General features: G+C 39.1%; 1 protein-coding gene across 1 annotated transcript in view, besides 2 other annotated features; it reads left to right on the top strand.

Moving 5' to 3' along the window:
• The window catches only part of F8 (coagulation factor VIII), a 186,932-nt gene that overhangs the window by 25,084 nt on the left and 144,901 nt on the right, over positions 1 to 16,947 (top strand). The window contains exons 3-6 of the mRNA NM_000132.4: positions 545 to 667; positions 4,492 to 4,704; positions 10,335 to 10,403; positions 12,837 to 12,953. Of these exons, the coding sequence (NP_000123.1) occupies positions 545 to 667; positions 4,492 to 4,704; positions 10,335 to 10,403; positions 12,837 to 12,953 (522 nt within the window). The remainder of the gene's footprint in view (positions 1 to 544; positions 668 to 4,491; positions 4,705 to 10,334; positions 10,404 to 12,836; positions 12,954 to 16,947) is intronic.
• Positions 16,531 to 16,580: an enhancer, noted in NCBI's record as "active region_30073". NCBI's record gives its function as "activates an Ori minimal core promoter by ATAC-STARR-seq in GM12878 lymphoblastoid cells {active_cell/tissue: GM12878}" and the evidence as "EXISTENCE:reporter gene assay evidence [ECO:0000049][PMID:35858748]".
• Positions 16,681 to 16,730: an enhancer, noted in NCBI's record as "active region_30072". NCBI's record gives its function as "activates an Ori minimal core promoter by ATAC-STARR-seq in GM12878 lymphoblastoid cells {active_cell/tissue: GM12878}" and the evidence as "EXISTENCE:reporter gene assay evidence [ECO:0000049][PMID:35858748]".

The raw sequence follows: 16,947 nt of genomic DNA, 5'->3' as shown, positions 1-16,947 counted from the left end.
TGCCTCTGGACGTTTGCATTTGTTTTATCTGTTTTCAATGCTCTTCCACTAGATCTTTGAAAATCTTGCTTCTTTTTCATTAGTCAGATCTCTACTCAAATGTCACCTCCTCAGAGAGGCCCTTCCTGACTACTACACTGAAAGTATCCTCTACCTCCTGCCTCATCACTTTCTAGCAGACCACTATCTTTTATATTTATAACAACTTGAAATTTTCTTATTTATTTCTTTATGTGCTTAATGTCTTGAGAATATGATCTCCATTATCTGTCTTGTTTGCTACTGCACCTCCAGTGCATAAGACAGTTCCTAGAATATAGTAGGAACTCTAGTTGAATGAATGAATGAATTGAATGATTGCCAGAAATCTTGCCTCAGAGCAACCATAAGGTTAGGCTGATGTTGGCAGCAAGCAAATACTACTTTTTGTCAGTAATTACAGGGGCATGCTTCTCCACTGTGACCTTGACTCTAACTTTTGGAATAACAGGTTTTCTGGAGTACTATCCCCAAGTAACCTTTGGCGGACATCTCATTCTTACAGGTCTGCTAGGTCCTACCATCCAGGCTGAGGTTTATGATACAGTGGTCATTACACTTAAGAACATGGCTTCCCATCCTGTCAGTCTTCATGCTGTTGGTGTATCCTACTGGAAAGCTTCTGAGGGTGAGTAAAATACCCTCCTATTGTCCTGTCATTCTATGAATAGAACAGTGAGATGTGTGTGCTTTGTAATGGTGGCGTTACAACTCTTTTAAGGTCCTAACTGAACATTATGTGTATTTCTTAACATTTACTAGATTATAAATATCTCAAGATAGGGAAATCCATCTTATTTATTGCTGTGTCCTTAGCATATAACATATTGCCTACCCTATAGTAGATACTCAATACAAGAATGAGGGTGTAGTGGACACCAGTCATTTTTTCTTCCTAAAATTAAACATTTCTCACCTGTATACCCCCTAGGAATTGCTTTTCTGAATATACTTCAAACAGAACCTGCCATTTTCTTAAAGCCCATGCCTCCCTAGCCATAGCAGTTGATCTAGGAGTGAGCAGTTGACACGGGTATCCCACCTCCTTGGCCACAGTTGATTGGTCCAGAGATGGGCACCTTACCCAAGCTAGGCCAATGAGAGTACTTGCACTAGCATTTTGAAATTTATGAGAAAAAGGACCTATTATTACCAGGTAATCCTATACTTAGGGGATGGAGCCCAAATATAATAAAATCAAGATTCTACTACTTCATGTATATCATGTGGGCCATGGATCTTATAGGAGTCTTAAGGGGGTGTTGGTCTTGTCCTTTTCTTAGTTGCCTAGCTCTTTGCAGGCATGGTGCAAAGGCAGGACAATCTACCTTTATCTGCTCCTTCTATACCACTGATCCTACCCTAAACATGTAGCTGTATAATCAGAGACAGGAAGCCATGGCAAATCTGGAGGGTCTCGGCTTGGCTATATCTTAAAGAGTTACATGTATTCGTAGTTCAACATTGGGGAAATTTTCCAAAAATTGGTGGAGAAACGAGTGGCCAATGCAATTTTATCTTTTTTTTTCTGCTGACATCAGGGAGAGATAAGAGCTTTAAAATCACAATTATGGGGAGATAATATTTTAAAATCCAGCTCAAGTTAAACCCATCAGAAAAGGTAACACCTTTTGGGACCCCCAAATGGCCACATCTTATCCAATGAGGGGACACCAACCATAGAGTCTATACTGCACAGTTCAAATGGTAGCCATGAGCTATCAGGCACTTGAAATGTGGTGAGTCCTACTTGAGACATACTGTAAAATATACACCAGATTTCAAAGGTTAAGTACAAAAAAGACTAAAAATATCTCATTCATTGTTTATAAGTACAAGTTGAAATGCTTATATTTGGATATACTAGGTTAAACGAAATACATTATTAAAATAATTTCACCTGTTTCTTTTTACTTTTCTTAATGTGACTACCAGAAAATTTAAAATTACATATGTGGTTTGCATTATATTTCTATTGAACAGTGAAATGTTTAGCATATGTTGAAGTTGCTGCTCCTGATGCAGTGGCTCATCTCAGATTTGGCCAAGTTCTTCTGTCCAAGGAAAACTAGGTTCAACCCATTCCTGGAGAGGAACAGACTCAAATCTTTCTGGGCTGGGTCACTTACCTTGGTTAAATCTGTTCTCCACCTATTCTACCAACAACCAAAGGGATGGACATAGCTGAAATAAAAATCACGCAATCACACTGAATGGTATCTCACCTCAGGTGGGCCTTCAGCATTGCCTAGCCATTCTACTGCTACATTTCCCCTAATCCATTTACTCTCCCTCTCCCCAAGACAGCTATAATGTTTCACACATTGTTAGCCTCTCATTGAACCTCCAACATGTGCTCCCGCCCCTGCCCCCACCACAACGTGAGCCTTGGGAAAAAGGGTATTTTTTTCCTAATGAAATATTTCAAACAAAGATAAATACAGAAAATAATATAACAAACAAACATGTGCCCATCACCTCACTTTGCCAAATCTTAACATTTTGTCATCTTTGCTTAATTTATTTTACAAAATTAAGCATTTTACATACAGTCTGTACTCCTCTATGGGGCTGGCAGGAAAAGGCTCTCATTGTCAAAGTTCAAAGTAATTGATCATTGAAAAAATAATGATCACATTAAAAACAACACTTATATAATAGAGATACATATTGTAATACTCATAAATGAAATGATATCCTGTCTAGGATTGGCTTCAAACACATCCAAGCTGATGTTACAATCATTAGGTGAATTCCTGATGTGGAATTTGACATTTGTATGGCGCCAAAATAATATCCCAGTGATTTTTTTCTGATTGTAAGTGGAAATGTTAACTTTAGAATGGAGGTATCAGGCTAATCCACAGGTCAGTTTTAGTGTCACTAAGGATGGGATGGCCAGATATTATCTGCCCCTGATATGGCACAATATGAGGGACTCAGCATCATCTTTGATATATTTTAGCCAAAAAACTTATTTAATTTGAATCTAATCAGAACTTAGGCATATTCAATAGCATGGGATATTCTACAGGACTACAAGCCAAATTTCTTTCACCAAATGAGTGTCAGAAAAAAAGGGACTACTCCATACTAAAAGAGACTATGGGCCTAAACAACCAGATGCAATCTGCAGTCTTAGGTTGGATTCTGATTTGGACCAACTAGCTACAAAGGATGCCTTTGAGGCAATTAAGAAAATTTGAATATTGCATTGATATTAGGTGATATTAACTGGATCAGGTGTGCTAGTGTCATTTTGTTTATGTGGGCAATTTTTTTTTAAAGATGACTTCTAAAGTATATAGGAGTGGACTATCATGAAATTTGTAATGTACATTAAAATGCATCATCATAAAAAGTGTGTTGAAAGAAAAAAGTGAAAGTAGCAGTGCAATTCTAAGAATAATTTTCTAACATCCACTCACAAAAATATTAAATTCTTTATATTAAACACATGAAAAAGAACACAAATATATCTGTCTTTCAAGATTCATCTCAAATTCCACCTCCTTCATCAAGCATTACTGAAGAGTAGGAAGCTTGTTTACTTTTTTTATCCACTGTGTTGCTCGCTCCAAGGGCATAGAGACTTCTATCTTGATCTTTATATTTTCAGCTTGTAGCTGAGTCTGGTAAAGAATAAGAACTCAATAAATATTTGTGAATAAATAGGTGAATATTTCCACATGGTATTATAATTATATCTTTATATGTCTATGTCCCCCACCAAACATAGTGTTGTACCACTAGGAAAGAACAAAGTTTAAGAAATTTTCTTAAATCTCTCTTTCTTACTGTTCCGTGACCCTCACTAGTGCCTACCAAAGAGTCTGTGACAAAGTGTATTTGTTGTTGAATTGAATTAGGCAAAAAGATGCAATAATGGAAGCAATTTATTATTTAACAGAATGTGGAGATATCAACCAGAACCTAGTTTTTACTGCTCATGCTAGGGTTAGTGATCTCAAGATCCTCTGGAGTATATGAAGCTTCTCCCCATTTGTGGCTGCTGCTTGTTAGTTTTTCAAATTAAGATGCAGAAAGTAGGCCGGGTGTGGTGGTTCGCGCCTGTAATCCCAGCACTTTGGGAGGCTGAGGCGGGTGGATCACAAGGTCAGGAGTTTAAGACCATCCTGACCAACATGATGAAACCCCATCTCTACTAAAAATACAAAATTAGCCGGGCATGGTGGCACGTGCCTGTAATCCCAGCTGCTGGGGAGTCTGAGGCAGGAAAATCACTTGAACCTGGGAGGCGGACGTTGCTGTGAGCCGAGATCCAGCCTGGGCAACAGAGTGAGACTCCGTCTCAAAACAACAACAACAACAACAACAAAGATGCAGAAAGTCCGTTTCTTATGTAGAACCTATTGGTGACAATAAACTTGACATGTTTCTTTGAGTGTACAGTGGATATAGAAAGGACAATTTTATTTCTTCCTGCTATAGGAGCTGAATATGATGATCAGACCAGTCAAAGGGAGAAAGAAGATGATAAAGTCTTCCCTGGTGGAAGCCATACATATGTCTGGCAGGTCCTGAAAGAGAATGGTCCAATGGCCTCTGACCCACTGTGCCTTACCTACTCATATCTTTCTCATGTGGACCTGGTAAAAGACTTGAATTCAGGCCTCATTGGAGCCCTACTAGTATGTAGAGAAGGTAAGTGTATGAAAGCGTAGGATTGAGATGAAATAAGCAGAGAAGTACAAACAACTGAATCTATCTATAACAGTTAGCATTTGTGTTCCTTCACCTGAAAGAGGCTTTTTTACTCTAGCATCATGCTCATGGAAAGGAGAATAATCCAGTTTCTGAGAGAAGCAGATATGCATTCTATATAACCACAATAAACTCTAAGCTGGGATCAGGAGGAGCTGAGTTCCAGAATTAAATCTCTCTCCTCAAAGCATTGCTATTTTCCTCTTCAAATCTGTGGGCTTTATCAGTAGTGATTTCTACTGTCCTCTGCCTTTTGCAAACTTTGAGCTAGGTTCCTTGAAAACTTCATGGAGGTAAACACATCCAAGTGTGTGATCAATGGCATATAGACTGGTTCAGGTGGTTAGTTTGTCATCTGTAAACCAAAAGTATATAAAAATCTAAGAAAAGTCAGCATTTATTTATATGTTACTGAAAATTAATTAATTTGGATTGAATTAATATATTCTAAAATAATTCTAATCAAACCTGTTTTTAATTTATACCTTAGCATAAATTAGGGAAGTAAATTTTGCATAATTTGTTTTTATCCTATTTTTTATGGTGAAATCAGCTTCACTGTACCTTTTCCTTGTTCCATTTATCTTTTACTGCATAACTCCACAATTTAGTGGCTTAAAACAACAACAGTCTCTTATTATCTCTCATGGTTTCTGTGAGTCTCATGGAATTTGTCAGTGTTTTGACTTGGTGGCCTATCTAAGTGTGTCTCATGAGGCTGTAGTCAAACAGTGGCTAGAGCTGAAATCATCCCAAAGGTGACTTTATTCACATGTCTTTGACCTTGGCTTGATGGTACTCTCCACATGATCTCTCTCACATGGGTTTTACAGGGTAGCCAGACTTCTTATATGGTCCTGAGATAGCCCATTAGAAGCTGTTTCACGATTTCTAATGTAACCTTGGAAATCACTCACATAACCTACATTCTATTAGTTAGAATGCATCACTAAGACCAGTCTATAAAGGGAGACTCCACCTTTTGATGGGGAATAGGCAAAGAATTTATTAACAGGAATCACCATACTCTTTCTGAATGGTGATGATGAATGTGATTCAAAAAAAGGATGGGAGCGGGGAGTGGAGAAGATGAGAAAGGTTTGTAGTTTATAATAGTTTCAGATGAAAGTATGATTTCTCATATACTGAGTTCAGTTTCATAGTCATAATTAATGAGAAAGTGCCAAAACCACAGTGTATTATTTATGGGATGTAAAGGCTAATGGAACAATGAGATCATCAAAACATTAGTGTTTACATATGACATATAAAGAAATAAGTTAAAAACCCAAATGATTCTTTGACACAGAGTTGAACTAAAGAGTCTACAGAGGTTCTAGTTCCAGGTGAAATGGATAAACACACTCCACCCTTTATTTCCCATTGAACTTAACTATAAAACCTTGACAAAATGCAAAGCCCAGATATTTAAAAATTTCTAAAAAGCAAATAGAACAAGTATATAGAGAAAAGACACTAGAATTGAAAGTATTACCAAACTTGTGGGGGAGTATACCTTTTTCCCCACTCTAGTATTCCTTAACCTGAATTAAAACATAACTGGAGACTTCGAAGTGAGTACTATGTTGCAAAGAGAGCTCCAGGACAAACCCTCTGGGGTTTCAAGGAGTGAGAAAGGTAACTCTAAATGCTCAGAGAGCGTGGGAGGGGAAATCCCCTAGGGTTTTTGTCCTCTTTTCCACCATTCTCTCAAGCTTCAGTCCCAGGTTGCCTGTGGCAATGACAGTGGCTGGCAACAGAAACCTGCCGGAGTAAAAACTTAGGGAGGGGAACATTATTCTTCATTCAGTACAGCTACAGATCTAAGACATTGGGGGAAAAGCACATTACTTTCTCTCTGTCTTTCCCCTTCCATTGCTTGACCTTAGCTATGATGTAGTTGTGGAAATTGGAAGCTTCTGGTTAGAAAACCAAAAAAGGGAGCTCACAGAACTGGAAAGTTTATAGATGACAGAGAGAAAAGATCCCAGGAAAGTAAACCCATAAAGTTGTGCATTAACTCCTGGATTCACCCCCAACCTACACATCCAGGTATGTAGTTTCAGTGTCAGATCTGTTTTAAACCCCTTGCAGTGCCATTGAGTCCAACGCAGTGGCCAGTCTGGTGCTTGAGGGGAAATCTCAGTTTCACAGTCTTCAACATGTTCCATTAGCCTTTACGTCCCATAAATAACACACTGTGGTTTTGGCACTTTCTCATTAATTATGACTATGAAACTGAACTCAGTATATGAGAAATCATACTTTCATCTGAAACTAACGCCCACAGAATTCCTTAAAACATGTCTGATGGCTGAAAGCAAAGATAGAACATTGTGAGATAGGTTTTTTAATGTATGGTAGATACAATACATAAAAGAATCATAGCATAACAAGAGGAGGGTAAGGAAAACTTTATGGTCCATTCAACTTCATTCCAATTCAAATGGTAAAATGTTGACTCTAAGTAGATGATAGTGAAAGGTTAAGTATGTATTTTGTAATCCCTAGAGCAACCAATAAAAAATTATACCAAGAGACACAGTAAAAAGTCACAATAAACTAATTACAATGGTATATCAAAAATATTCAAATAACTCAAAAGAAGGCAAGTAAGGAGAGATGAAAATCAGAGAGAAGAAGCAGTAAAATCATAATAAAATGATAGGCTTAAATCTAAACATATCAATACTTACATTAAGTGCAAATGGCTAAAACACACCAATTAAAAACAGAGATTAGCATACTGGATATAAAAGCTTGAACCAATTATATGTTGTTTACAAGAAACTCATTTCAAAAAAATGATATAGGTAGGTTACCAGCATAAAGATGGAAAAGGATATATGATGCAAACATGAATATGAAGAAAGTTGAAGTAGTACAAATCTGTAATCACAACATTGATTTTTGCCAGGAGTGCCAAAACCATTCAATAGGGGAAAGAATAGTGTCTTCAATAAACAGTGCTGAAACAGGTGAATATCTGCATGCAAAATACTGATTGAGTATCCCTTACCTGAAATGCTTGGAACCAAGAACGTTTCAGATTTCAGATACTGGAATATTTGCACATATATAATGAGATAGCTTGGGGATGGAACTTAAGTCTGAATATGAAATTCATTTTGGATATAAATCCCTTGCCAGTTATGTGATTGGCAAATATTTTCTCCCACTCTATAGTTTGTTTTTTCATTCTTTTAATGGTGTCTTTTATAAAGCAAGAGTTATATGGACAAACATATGAAAAGATGTTCAACATCATTAACCATTAGGGAAATGCAAATTCAATCAACAGTGATGTATCTATTAGAATAGCTAAAATAATAATATAAAATTGCCAAGAATCCTGTCAAGAATTCAGAGCAACAGAAAGTTTCACAATGCACAATGGTATAGCCATTCTGGAAAACAGAATGGCAGTTTTGCTGCTTGGTAGAGAAACAGTCTCTGGCAGTTTCTTGTGAAATTAGATGTACACTATAGAGGGATAGCAGGAGGGAGTTCTTTTTGGATATTGAAATGGATCTGTATCTTGACGATGATGGGGTTTCATGAGCTTATATCTTTGTTAAAAGTTATAGACCTATACACCAAAAGAAAAAGTCAATTTCACTATAATTGAAAATTTATATAAAAGTAATTAGAATGTTTTAAGACAGCTTTATACGTATTTTAAATGTGTCTCTAAAGTTTTTAATCCAGTACTTCTGGTAAAGATGGCACAGGGTCTTCCTACTTAGCCATTTTTCCATCCTCCACCTCAACCCCAACCTCGCTGAAAACCAACAACAAAGATAGGTAAACCATAAATAGAGAAAATCGAATAGGCATGGTCAGCTGAAAAAGAAGATAAATATTTGTGGACCAGAAGCAGAACAGGAACTGTGAGTAGTAAAAGGGGTGGAAATTACAGGCCAACTGAGATCTGGGTCAGGAAGCCAGCTGCGGTAGCCAAGGAGTCAGGATGACAAGGATAAATAGTGCTCCCCACCAGAGGGACTGAGAGCCCATATCATAGAGTTGGGCTCTTCTTCACTTGAAAGAGAGCTGAGCACAGCTGCTGCTCACTCTTTGTTTAGGGCCATGGCTTTGTGGAAACTCAGAGTCCTAGAAGAGGGGAAAGCAAACCCAGTCCTAGAATAGGAACTGAACTAAGTTTTCTTGGTTCAGTGGGGGAATCTGCAATATCCCCAAGGTTTCCATTGGCCAGTATCTCCAAAATTCCATTCTAGGGTATGATTTGCTAGATAGAGAATAGTGAACACATCCTTTGCTTAATCAACCAATGATCACAAGGGACAGCAAAGATCACTATAGTTCAACAAAGTCAGATTTATTGGCTCATGGCAACAAGAGACTGTGGACACCTCCCTAAACAAAGGGAAATACTGTATAGAGTTAGTAAAGAATTTTGGGGAAGGGTGGAGGTTAGGTGATATTTAAATGAAGCAAAGTAGAGTTGTGTGTAAAGAAATAACCATGAGGTCTAGACTGTGAAGTGTTCTAAAAAGTTAACATAGACATGAAAGGTTAAGTCAAGGCACCCCTTACCTGAAGCTTGAGCTTTAAATTGAGCTGCTTCTTTGTGTCAAAGTAATTTAGATGACCTAGGAAAGAATGAGATGTTTCATTCTTGTTGCTATTAGTTCAAACATTTCTGGCAGGCTGTGAATTCAGAGAACAAACAACTCAATTGAGTAAGAAAGCAAGAGATAATCAAAGCAAATAGTTGGCATTCAGTGAGTTTATACAGTGGCAATGTGTCCTTGGGAGAAATGGTGTTGTTAACTCTGCAGTTAGCTTTATCTATGTCTCTTATCCCAGCCTGATGAGTAGCAGCACACGTACTGTTGCTTTCTTAGTCCAAGCTAATTTTTATTTCTAAGCATTAAGGGTGCGAGAGAGAGAAAGAACGGCAAAATGTCATAAACAAAAATCTTTCTACTCAAAATAAGCCTGTAAACAAAAGTTTCCAGTCAAATTTAAAAAATATATAATTCTAAGAAAGATAGCCAACAAGCTCAACAGTTAAAGCATGAAACAAGCTAGTTTGTTCCATTAAAAACTTCAGCTATCGATATACACGGTATTTATTTAAAATGTGAGTATAATTAGAAGCACTGTGGGCTATTGAAAAAAAATCATGAGTATAGATGTTTAATATGGACAATTGCTATTTTACTCAAAACTTTTAATTTACAATTGCAGAAGTATAAAAAGTTACAAGAGTAACAGAAATTATCTATAATTTCACTATTATCACACAGTGTGTGAGGGCTTGTATTTTGTAAGTGTTTTTAATTTTTTTCTTTAGTAATTCATTTTTATCATATTTTACACAAGTAGTGGTCTTCATCAAAGTTGAAATAAAAAAATTCTTTGCTCCAGATAGTTTTAGAAACACTGCTATAGGAGACCTGACATCAAAGCCAAGTTATCAAGAGACAGAAGACTACATTTGTTCTTACTGTCAAGTAACTGATGAAGAACTGTCTCCTCCTAGTGACAATTTCCTACAATGAGATTTTTTAAATAGAAGATAAATGTTCTCACTTCTTTTTCAGGGAGTCTGGCCAAGGAAAAGACACAGACCTTGCACAAATTTATACTACTTTTTGCTGTATTTGATGAAGGTTAGTGAGTCTTAATCTGAATTTTGGATTCCTGAAAGAAATCCTCTGCTACTATTAAGAGGAGGTGATTATAGAAAGATCATAAATTACATTACTGTTCAGGAATGAAGGAGATGGGGTTAAAAATGAATTCCAAGAAAACAAAACGTAACCTCAGTTCCACTGGCAGCTATGAGGTAAGAAGATAGAGGAGCTGGATAACGGACTGGCCTCATCCCCCTCATTAAGACTGTCAACAAATACTTTGGGCTCTACTTTCTAAATACTTTCTCTTATCTTCATCTATTATTAAGTGCACAACCTTTGGCAAGTTATTTAACCTCTCTGTGTCTCGGTTTCCTAAATGGAAATAATAGTACATTTTTCATAAGATTGTTGTGAGTGCTGAGTGATTTCACTTAAGTAACCTAGAGCACTGTGTGGCATAGAGTAGGCCCTCAATAGTGTTAGTACCTCCGCCTCTTCCTCCTCCTCCTAATGTAATCACTATGTAATCATAGTAACATAATATTCTTCTTGCCCCCTTATCAATTTACATTGCCATCTTCTTAATTGAGGCCCTCATGATCTGTCTCATAACTCTCAAAGGAAGCTTACTGAAGTGAGTATCTGATCTTGTCACTCTAGCCTCTACAATACTTCAGTTTGCCAGTTTCGGTGGCTCATGCCTGTAATCCCAGCACTTTAGGAGGCTGAGGTGGGCAGATTGCTTGAGCCCAGGAGTTTGAGACCAGCCTGGGCAACAGGGCGAAACCACATCTCTACAAAAGAATTAAAAAATCAGCCGGTCATGGTGGCGGGTACCTGTACTCCAGCTACTTGGGAGGCTGAGGTGGGAGGATCACTTGAGCCCAGGAGGTGAAGGTTGCAGTGAGCTGTGATTGCGCCACTGCACTCCAGCCTGGGTGATAAAGCCAGACCCTATCTCAAACAACAAAACAAATAAAATAATTCAATTTCAAGGTAAAGTGCAAAATGCATTATCTATTCTCTGGTGACATTTCCAGCCTTGTTGTGTTCCATTTCCTGCCTTATCTTCCATGTCACCCAAATATGTAATGCTTTTTCTTGCATGAGACCTCTGCATATGCAGTTTCCTCTGCCTGGAAAAATCTGTCTCCCTCTTTACACTAAGTAAGCTTCTCCTTTTTCTTTAAGTCTGACTTACTTCAGTTATCCCCTTCCTTAATTCCTTCTCCCAGGATGACCTCTAGTCTGGATTAGATGCCTGCTTATATTTCCACAGCATCTTGAGCTTATTCCTTATCATACTATATCAGTATTTTCTACTTTATTTAATATTTATCTTCTTTGATCTCATATCTTTTTCCCTTCAAGCAAAGTGAAATTTCTTCTCCTCTCTGCTCCCTGTAACACCCTACTCTCATCTTTATTATATCACTCTTTACTCTTTATTATAATTATCAGCTTCTCTGACGATTCCAGCTAGAGTGTAAGCATCTTGAAAGCAGAGGCTGTATCTTCCTCTCTATCATCAGTGTCTACAATTAGTAGTGCTCAATAAATATGTGTTTGAATGAATGAACAAATGAATGGCTGCCTCATAAAGTTTTAGCACTAGCTACCAGTCCTTCACACAAAGGGGTAACTCCAGGGAGTCACTGTTCAATAGTATTTCCAGTGCTTCAGCCCTTATCAATTTCAGAGACAGTGTTAGGGAGCTTTCAGGTTCCTGGGGTTTCATAAATATAAGCTGGGATGAAGCAATTATAACGGAGACAGGGACTGACAGACAGCCTTTTTCCTAGGACAATTTTCTTTTTTCTTTTCTTTTTTTTTTGAGATCGAGTCTCACTCTGTTGCCCAGGTTGGAGTGCAGTGGCACAATCTTGGCTCACTGCAACGTCCACCTCCCAGGTTCAAGTGATTCTCCTGCCTCAGCCTCCTGAGTAGCTGAGATTACAGGCACATGCCACCATGCCCGCCTAATTTGTGTATTTTTAGTGGGGATAGGGTTTCACCATGTTGGCCAGGCTACTCTCAAACGCCTGACCTGAAGTGATCCACCTGCCTCAGCCTCCCAGAGTGCTACGATTACAGGTGTGAGCCACCGCGCCCGGCCCCTAGGATGATTTTCATAAGCTTTCTTTTAAATAATTCAGCTAATAAAAAGAATTGAATCCTGATGCCTCAAGCTAACCAATATTCTGTCTTCTATTATTATCCATTCCCACTTATTGTCATGGACAAATGGAGGGAGAGAAAATCAGTTTGAGCAAGAGATGTCTGCCTTTACATAATTATCTTCTCCCTCCCTCACACTGACTTTGAGAGGATAAGTGCTGTGTGCCTACTTTGCTGACAAAAATGCTTAAGGTGTGAGCACACTGGGAGCAGGGAAGGAGAAAGGGGAGGCGGTCATTCATGAGACACATGCTTAGCTGACTCTATCTTTGCCTTCTCTCTCATCAGGGAAAAGTTGGCACTCAGAAACAAAGAACTCCTTGATGCAGGATAGGGATGCTGCATCTGCTCGGGCCTGGCCTAAAATGCACACAGTCAATGGTTATGTAAACAGGTCTCTGCCAGGTATGTACACACCTGCTCAACAATCCTCAGGGTCTTCCAAATTCAGCACCAGAGTTCTGTACTTCAGTTCACAAACAGCTCGGCATCTCAGAGGATATAGCCCACTGAATACTTGAAGATCTCTGGCCTCTGGGGATCTTAATGTATAGTAGGCAATTCCTCTTTTGGTCACCTGAAAATGAAGGCTTACCCATGTACATACAGCCCACAGTCAGATTTTTCTTTCCTTTTCTTAAATGTGAGTGGGCAACCAAGGATGAACAGACATTTAAAAAGAACCTAAAATATGGAAGGGATATGCAAAGATGAACAAAGAAAATAATAATCCCAGAATAAAAAAAGCTATGGCTCAGAACAGAACTCATCGGAAGCTCTTACTTCTATTTTCATAAAGATTCAAGAAGATACTGCATCAATAAAGTAACAATAAGATGCCTTCCAGTTTTAAAATAGGGGCATAGAGGCAGGCTGGCTTTACTCCCTCTCACAGAAAACCAAAACCAAACATACAGCACCAATATCTACACCAACAACAACCCAGAGCTCACATGTGAGGATGAGACAGTTCCCGGAGCCACAGAGAAGTGAAAAAACTTTGAGAATCAGACTTCCACATCCATGACTCTCCTTCCTCCTATTCTGCCCAGCACCAAGTGTATGGAAAATCTCCCCTCAACTCATGGTTTCTACACTGGAAAAAGTGACATTGAGGTGTTCAACCAGCTTCTCCACCTTCTTGGGTTCCCTGGGGGGAGATTTGTCCTTGCCTTAACCCACAGAAAACATCATGACTGTCTGAAGGCAGAAATATCCCAGAGTACAGGCAGAGACAAATGAGGGAGGAAGGACTACCATCCCCAGCCCTGGAAATTCTGCTCTATAATTTGGCCAAAGACATGCAAATTCAGAATGGCCGTGCAGCAGCACCATGCTGTAGCAGGTTTATCCTACAGGTCACCTTGGCATGAATCACTAGCTGGCCTTCCAACACTGCTATGATAATCCCTTTGGGACCTCACCCACTTGGGACAGGCAGGGCTCTGACCACTTACTGGAACACCTGTAATCCCAGCACTTGAGCTCAGCACAATAACAATAGGAGATGGCTACTACCGTTAATTTTATGCAGTTACGATTTAATACTGGATCTTTACGTTTGTTTACATTTGTCCCAACTGGCACCTTCATCACCTCCACCCTCCCCACCCCAGACTATGGTAACCACGATTCTACTCTCTATTTTCACAAGATCCACTCTTTTAGCTCCCACATGTGAGTGAGAACATGTGGTATTGCCCTGCAGTGTCACCTATGTTGATGCAAATGAAAATATTCTTTTTTATGGCCAAATAGTATTCCATTATGTATATATACCACTGAACTGTACACTTAAAAATGGTAATGATGGCAAATTACATATGTATATTTTACATCAATAAAAAGAAACTTAAAAATAAGGTAACAATAGGATTCTATGAAAAACAATCATAACAAAACGTGCTCATAAAAATTATAAACACAATGGTCAAAATAGAAACTCAATAGAAAGTACTAAGAATAGATAAAATCTTTCATAAGGTCAAACAAAATGTGGTTGAGAATATAGTTGACCCTTGAACAATGTGGGGGTTGGGGTACTAACCCCCTGCACAGTCAAAAATCCATGTATAACTTTTGACTCCCTCCAAATTCAAGTACTAATGACCTATTGTTGATCAGAAGCCTTATCAATAACATAAACAACAAATATTTTGTGTATGTATTATATGCTGTATATTTTCAATAAAGTAAGCTAGAGAAAGGAAAATGTTATTTATACTTTTCTCTGCTTCTTGGGAGTACTTCCAGCATCACTAGTGGCACTTTATACGGGTCCCAAGTATCCTTCAAAGTTTATGGAGAGATGAAATGCTTATGCAGAGATGATTAGCATCATGCAGAGTTTTCAGTGGATGCCTGCAGCACTCGAGCTCAGCACAATAACAATAGGAGATGGCTACTACCGTTAATTTTATGCAGTTGCGATTTAATACTGGATCTTTACGTTTGTTTACATTTGTCCCAACTGGGAATGGTGCCATGTATGGTTGTAAGTATGTAAGTTTTTATAAATTTCAACTTTTTATAATAGATTTTTGTATATTTTATGGTAATAAATGATAAAATAGTCTAGTATCAACATGTATATGTATATATAAGTGTGTATACATATATATATATATTTTTTTTTTTTTTTTTTTTGAGACGGAGTCTTGCTGTCGCCCAGGCTGGAGTGCAGTGGCGCAATCTCAGCTCACTGCAGGCTCTGCCCCCCGGGGTTCACGCCATTCTCCTGCCTCAGCCTCCCGAGTAGCTGGGACTACAGGCGCCCGCCACCTCGACTGGCTAATTTTTTGTATTTTTAGTAGAGACGGGGTTTCATTGTGTTAGCCAGGATGGTCTCGATCTCCTGACCTCGTGATCCACCCGCCTTGGCCTCCCAAAGTATATATATATATTTTTTGAGACGGAGTCTTGTTCTGTCACCCAGGCTGGAGTGCAGTGGCACAATCTGAGCTCACTGCAACTTCCCCCTCTTGGGTTCAAGCGATTCTCCTGCCCCAGCCTCCCAAGTAGCTGGGATTACAGGCATGTGCCACCACGCCCACCTAATTTTTGTAGTTTTAGTAGAGATGGGGTTTCACCATGTTTGCCAGGCCGGTCTTGAACTCCTGACCTCGTGATCTGCCCGCCTTGGCCTCCCAAAGTGCTGGGATTATAAGTGTGAGCCACTGCATCCGGCCATCTCCATATATTTTTTGCATTCATAACATACCTTTTTCTTAATTTTTTTGATATTTTTACCCTATGTGGTCCATCTGACAGTTTTTTCAAATTGTCATAAATTTCCAAAAAAATCTCACTATATTTATTGAAAAAAAACTGCATATAAGTGGACTCATGCAGTTCAAACCTGTATTGTTCAAGAGTCAACTGTGTGTTTTAAAGCAGATTTTAACATCAAGAAATGATAGAAAAATGATAAGAATTAAAAGAGATAAATATTCATATTAGAATTGCCCATCAGGAGCTTCTGAGTAGCTGAACGCATGGAGGTTCCTGGAGAGTGGCTGGCCCCATGCCCCTTCCCACATACCCTTCCTTATATATGCATCTCTTCCATCTGGCGTTTATAAGAAAAGGTGCTGACTGCTGAATTATAAGGACACTGTGGTCTACTAGATAAAGGTTGAGGAGAGGGGTTTGGGCTTCTATTGTCTTCTTTCCGGGCCTTCATCTCCTGCTTGTGATTAAGTAGTGCATGCTGAGTGGAGCAAAGTGGTGGAATAGGACTCTTCAGCAATAATCTCCTCACAGAAACATCAAGGTAACAACTCGATGCGTGAAATTACCTTCAGAAGAGTTAAGAAAACCTGAACCCATGAGCAAGACTGTGAAGCCCTTTTGGACTGCAAAGACGAGTAAAACCATAGTTGCACATAAAGGGGATTGGTTCTTTATGACTGAGACCCCACCCGCAAGCCACTGCAGTACCACAGGCGGAAAGTCACCATGGACCCACGGTTTTTACACCGGAAAACTCTCCCGTATGGCCTGAGTGCCCTCTGTGGATCTCCACTAATTAGTAGCAGAGCCAGCATGAGACTTGCGTCTAACCTGGGCTCAGGGCGCCCTCTCGTGCTAAAAGGAAATACAACAGCCAGTCCTTTCACTTTCTTTTTGATATGGTCTCTGTTGCCTAGGTTGGAGTGCAGTGGTGCGATCATAGATTACTGCAGTCTTGAACTCCTGGCTGGGCTCACACGGTCTTCCCACCTCAGCCTCCAGAGTGGGACTACAGGTGTGTGCCACTATGCCTGGCTAAATTTTCGGGTTTTGTGTGTGGGGTGGGGAAGATTGGGGTATTGCTATGTTGCTCAGGCTGGGTCTCGAACTCCTGACCTAAAGCAATCCTCCAGCCTCAGCCTCCTAAAGTGCTAGGTTACAAGTATGA

Source organism: Homo sapiens, chromosome X (assembly GCF_000001405.40).
Source record: "Homo sapiens chromosome X, GRCh38.p14 Primary Assembly".
Taxonomy (NCBI): Eukaryota; Metazoa; Chordata; class Mammalia; order Primates; family Hominidae; genus Homo; species Homo sapiens.
The sequence above is the reverse complement of the archived record's forward strand: the minus strand, read 5'-3'. Positions and strand labels throughout refer to the sequence as shown.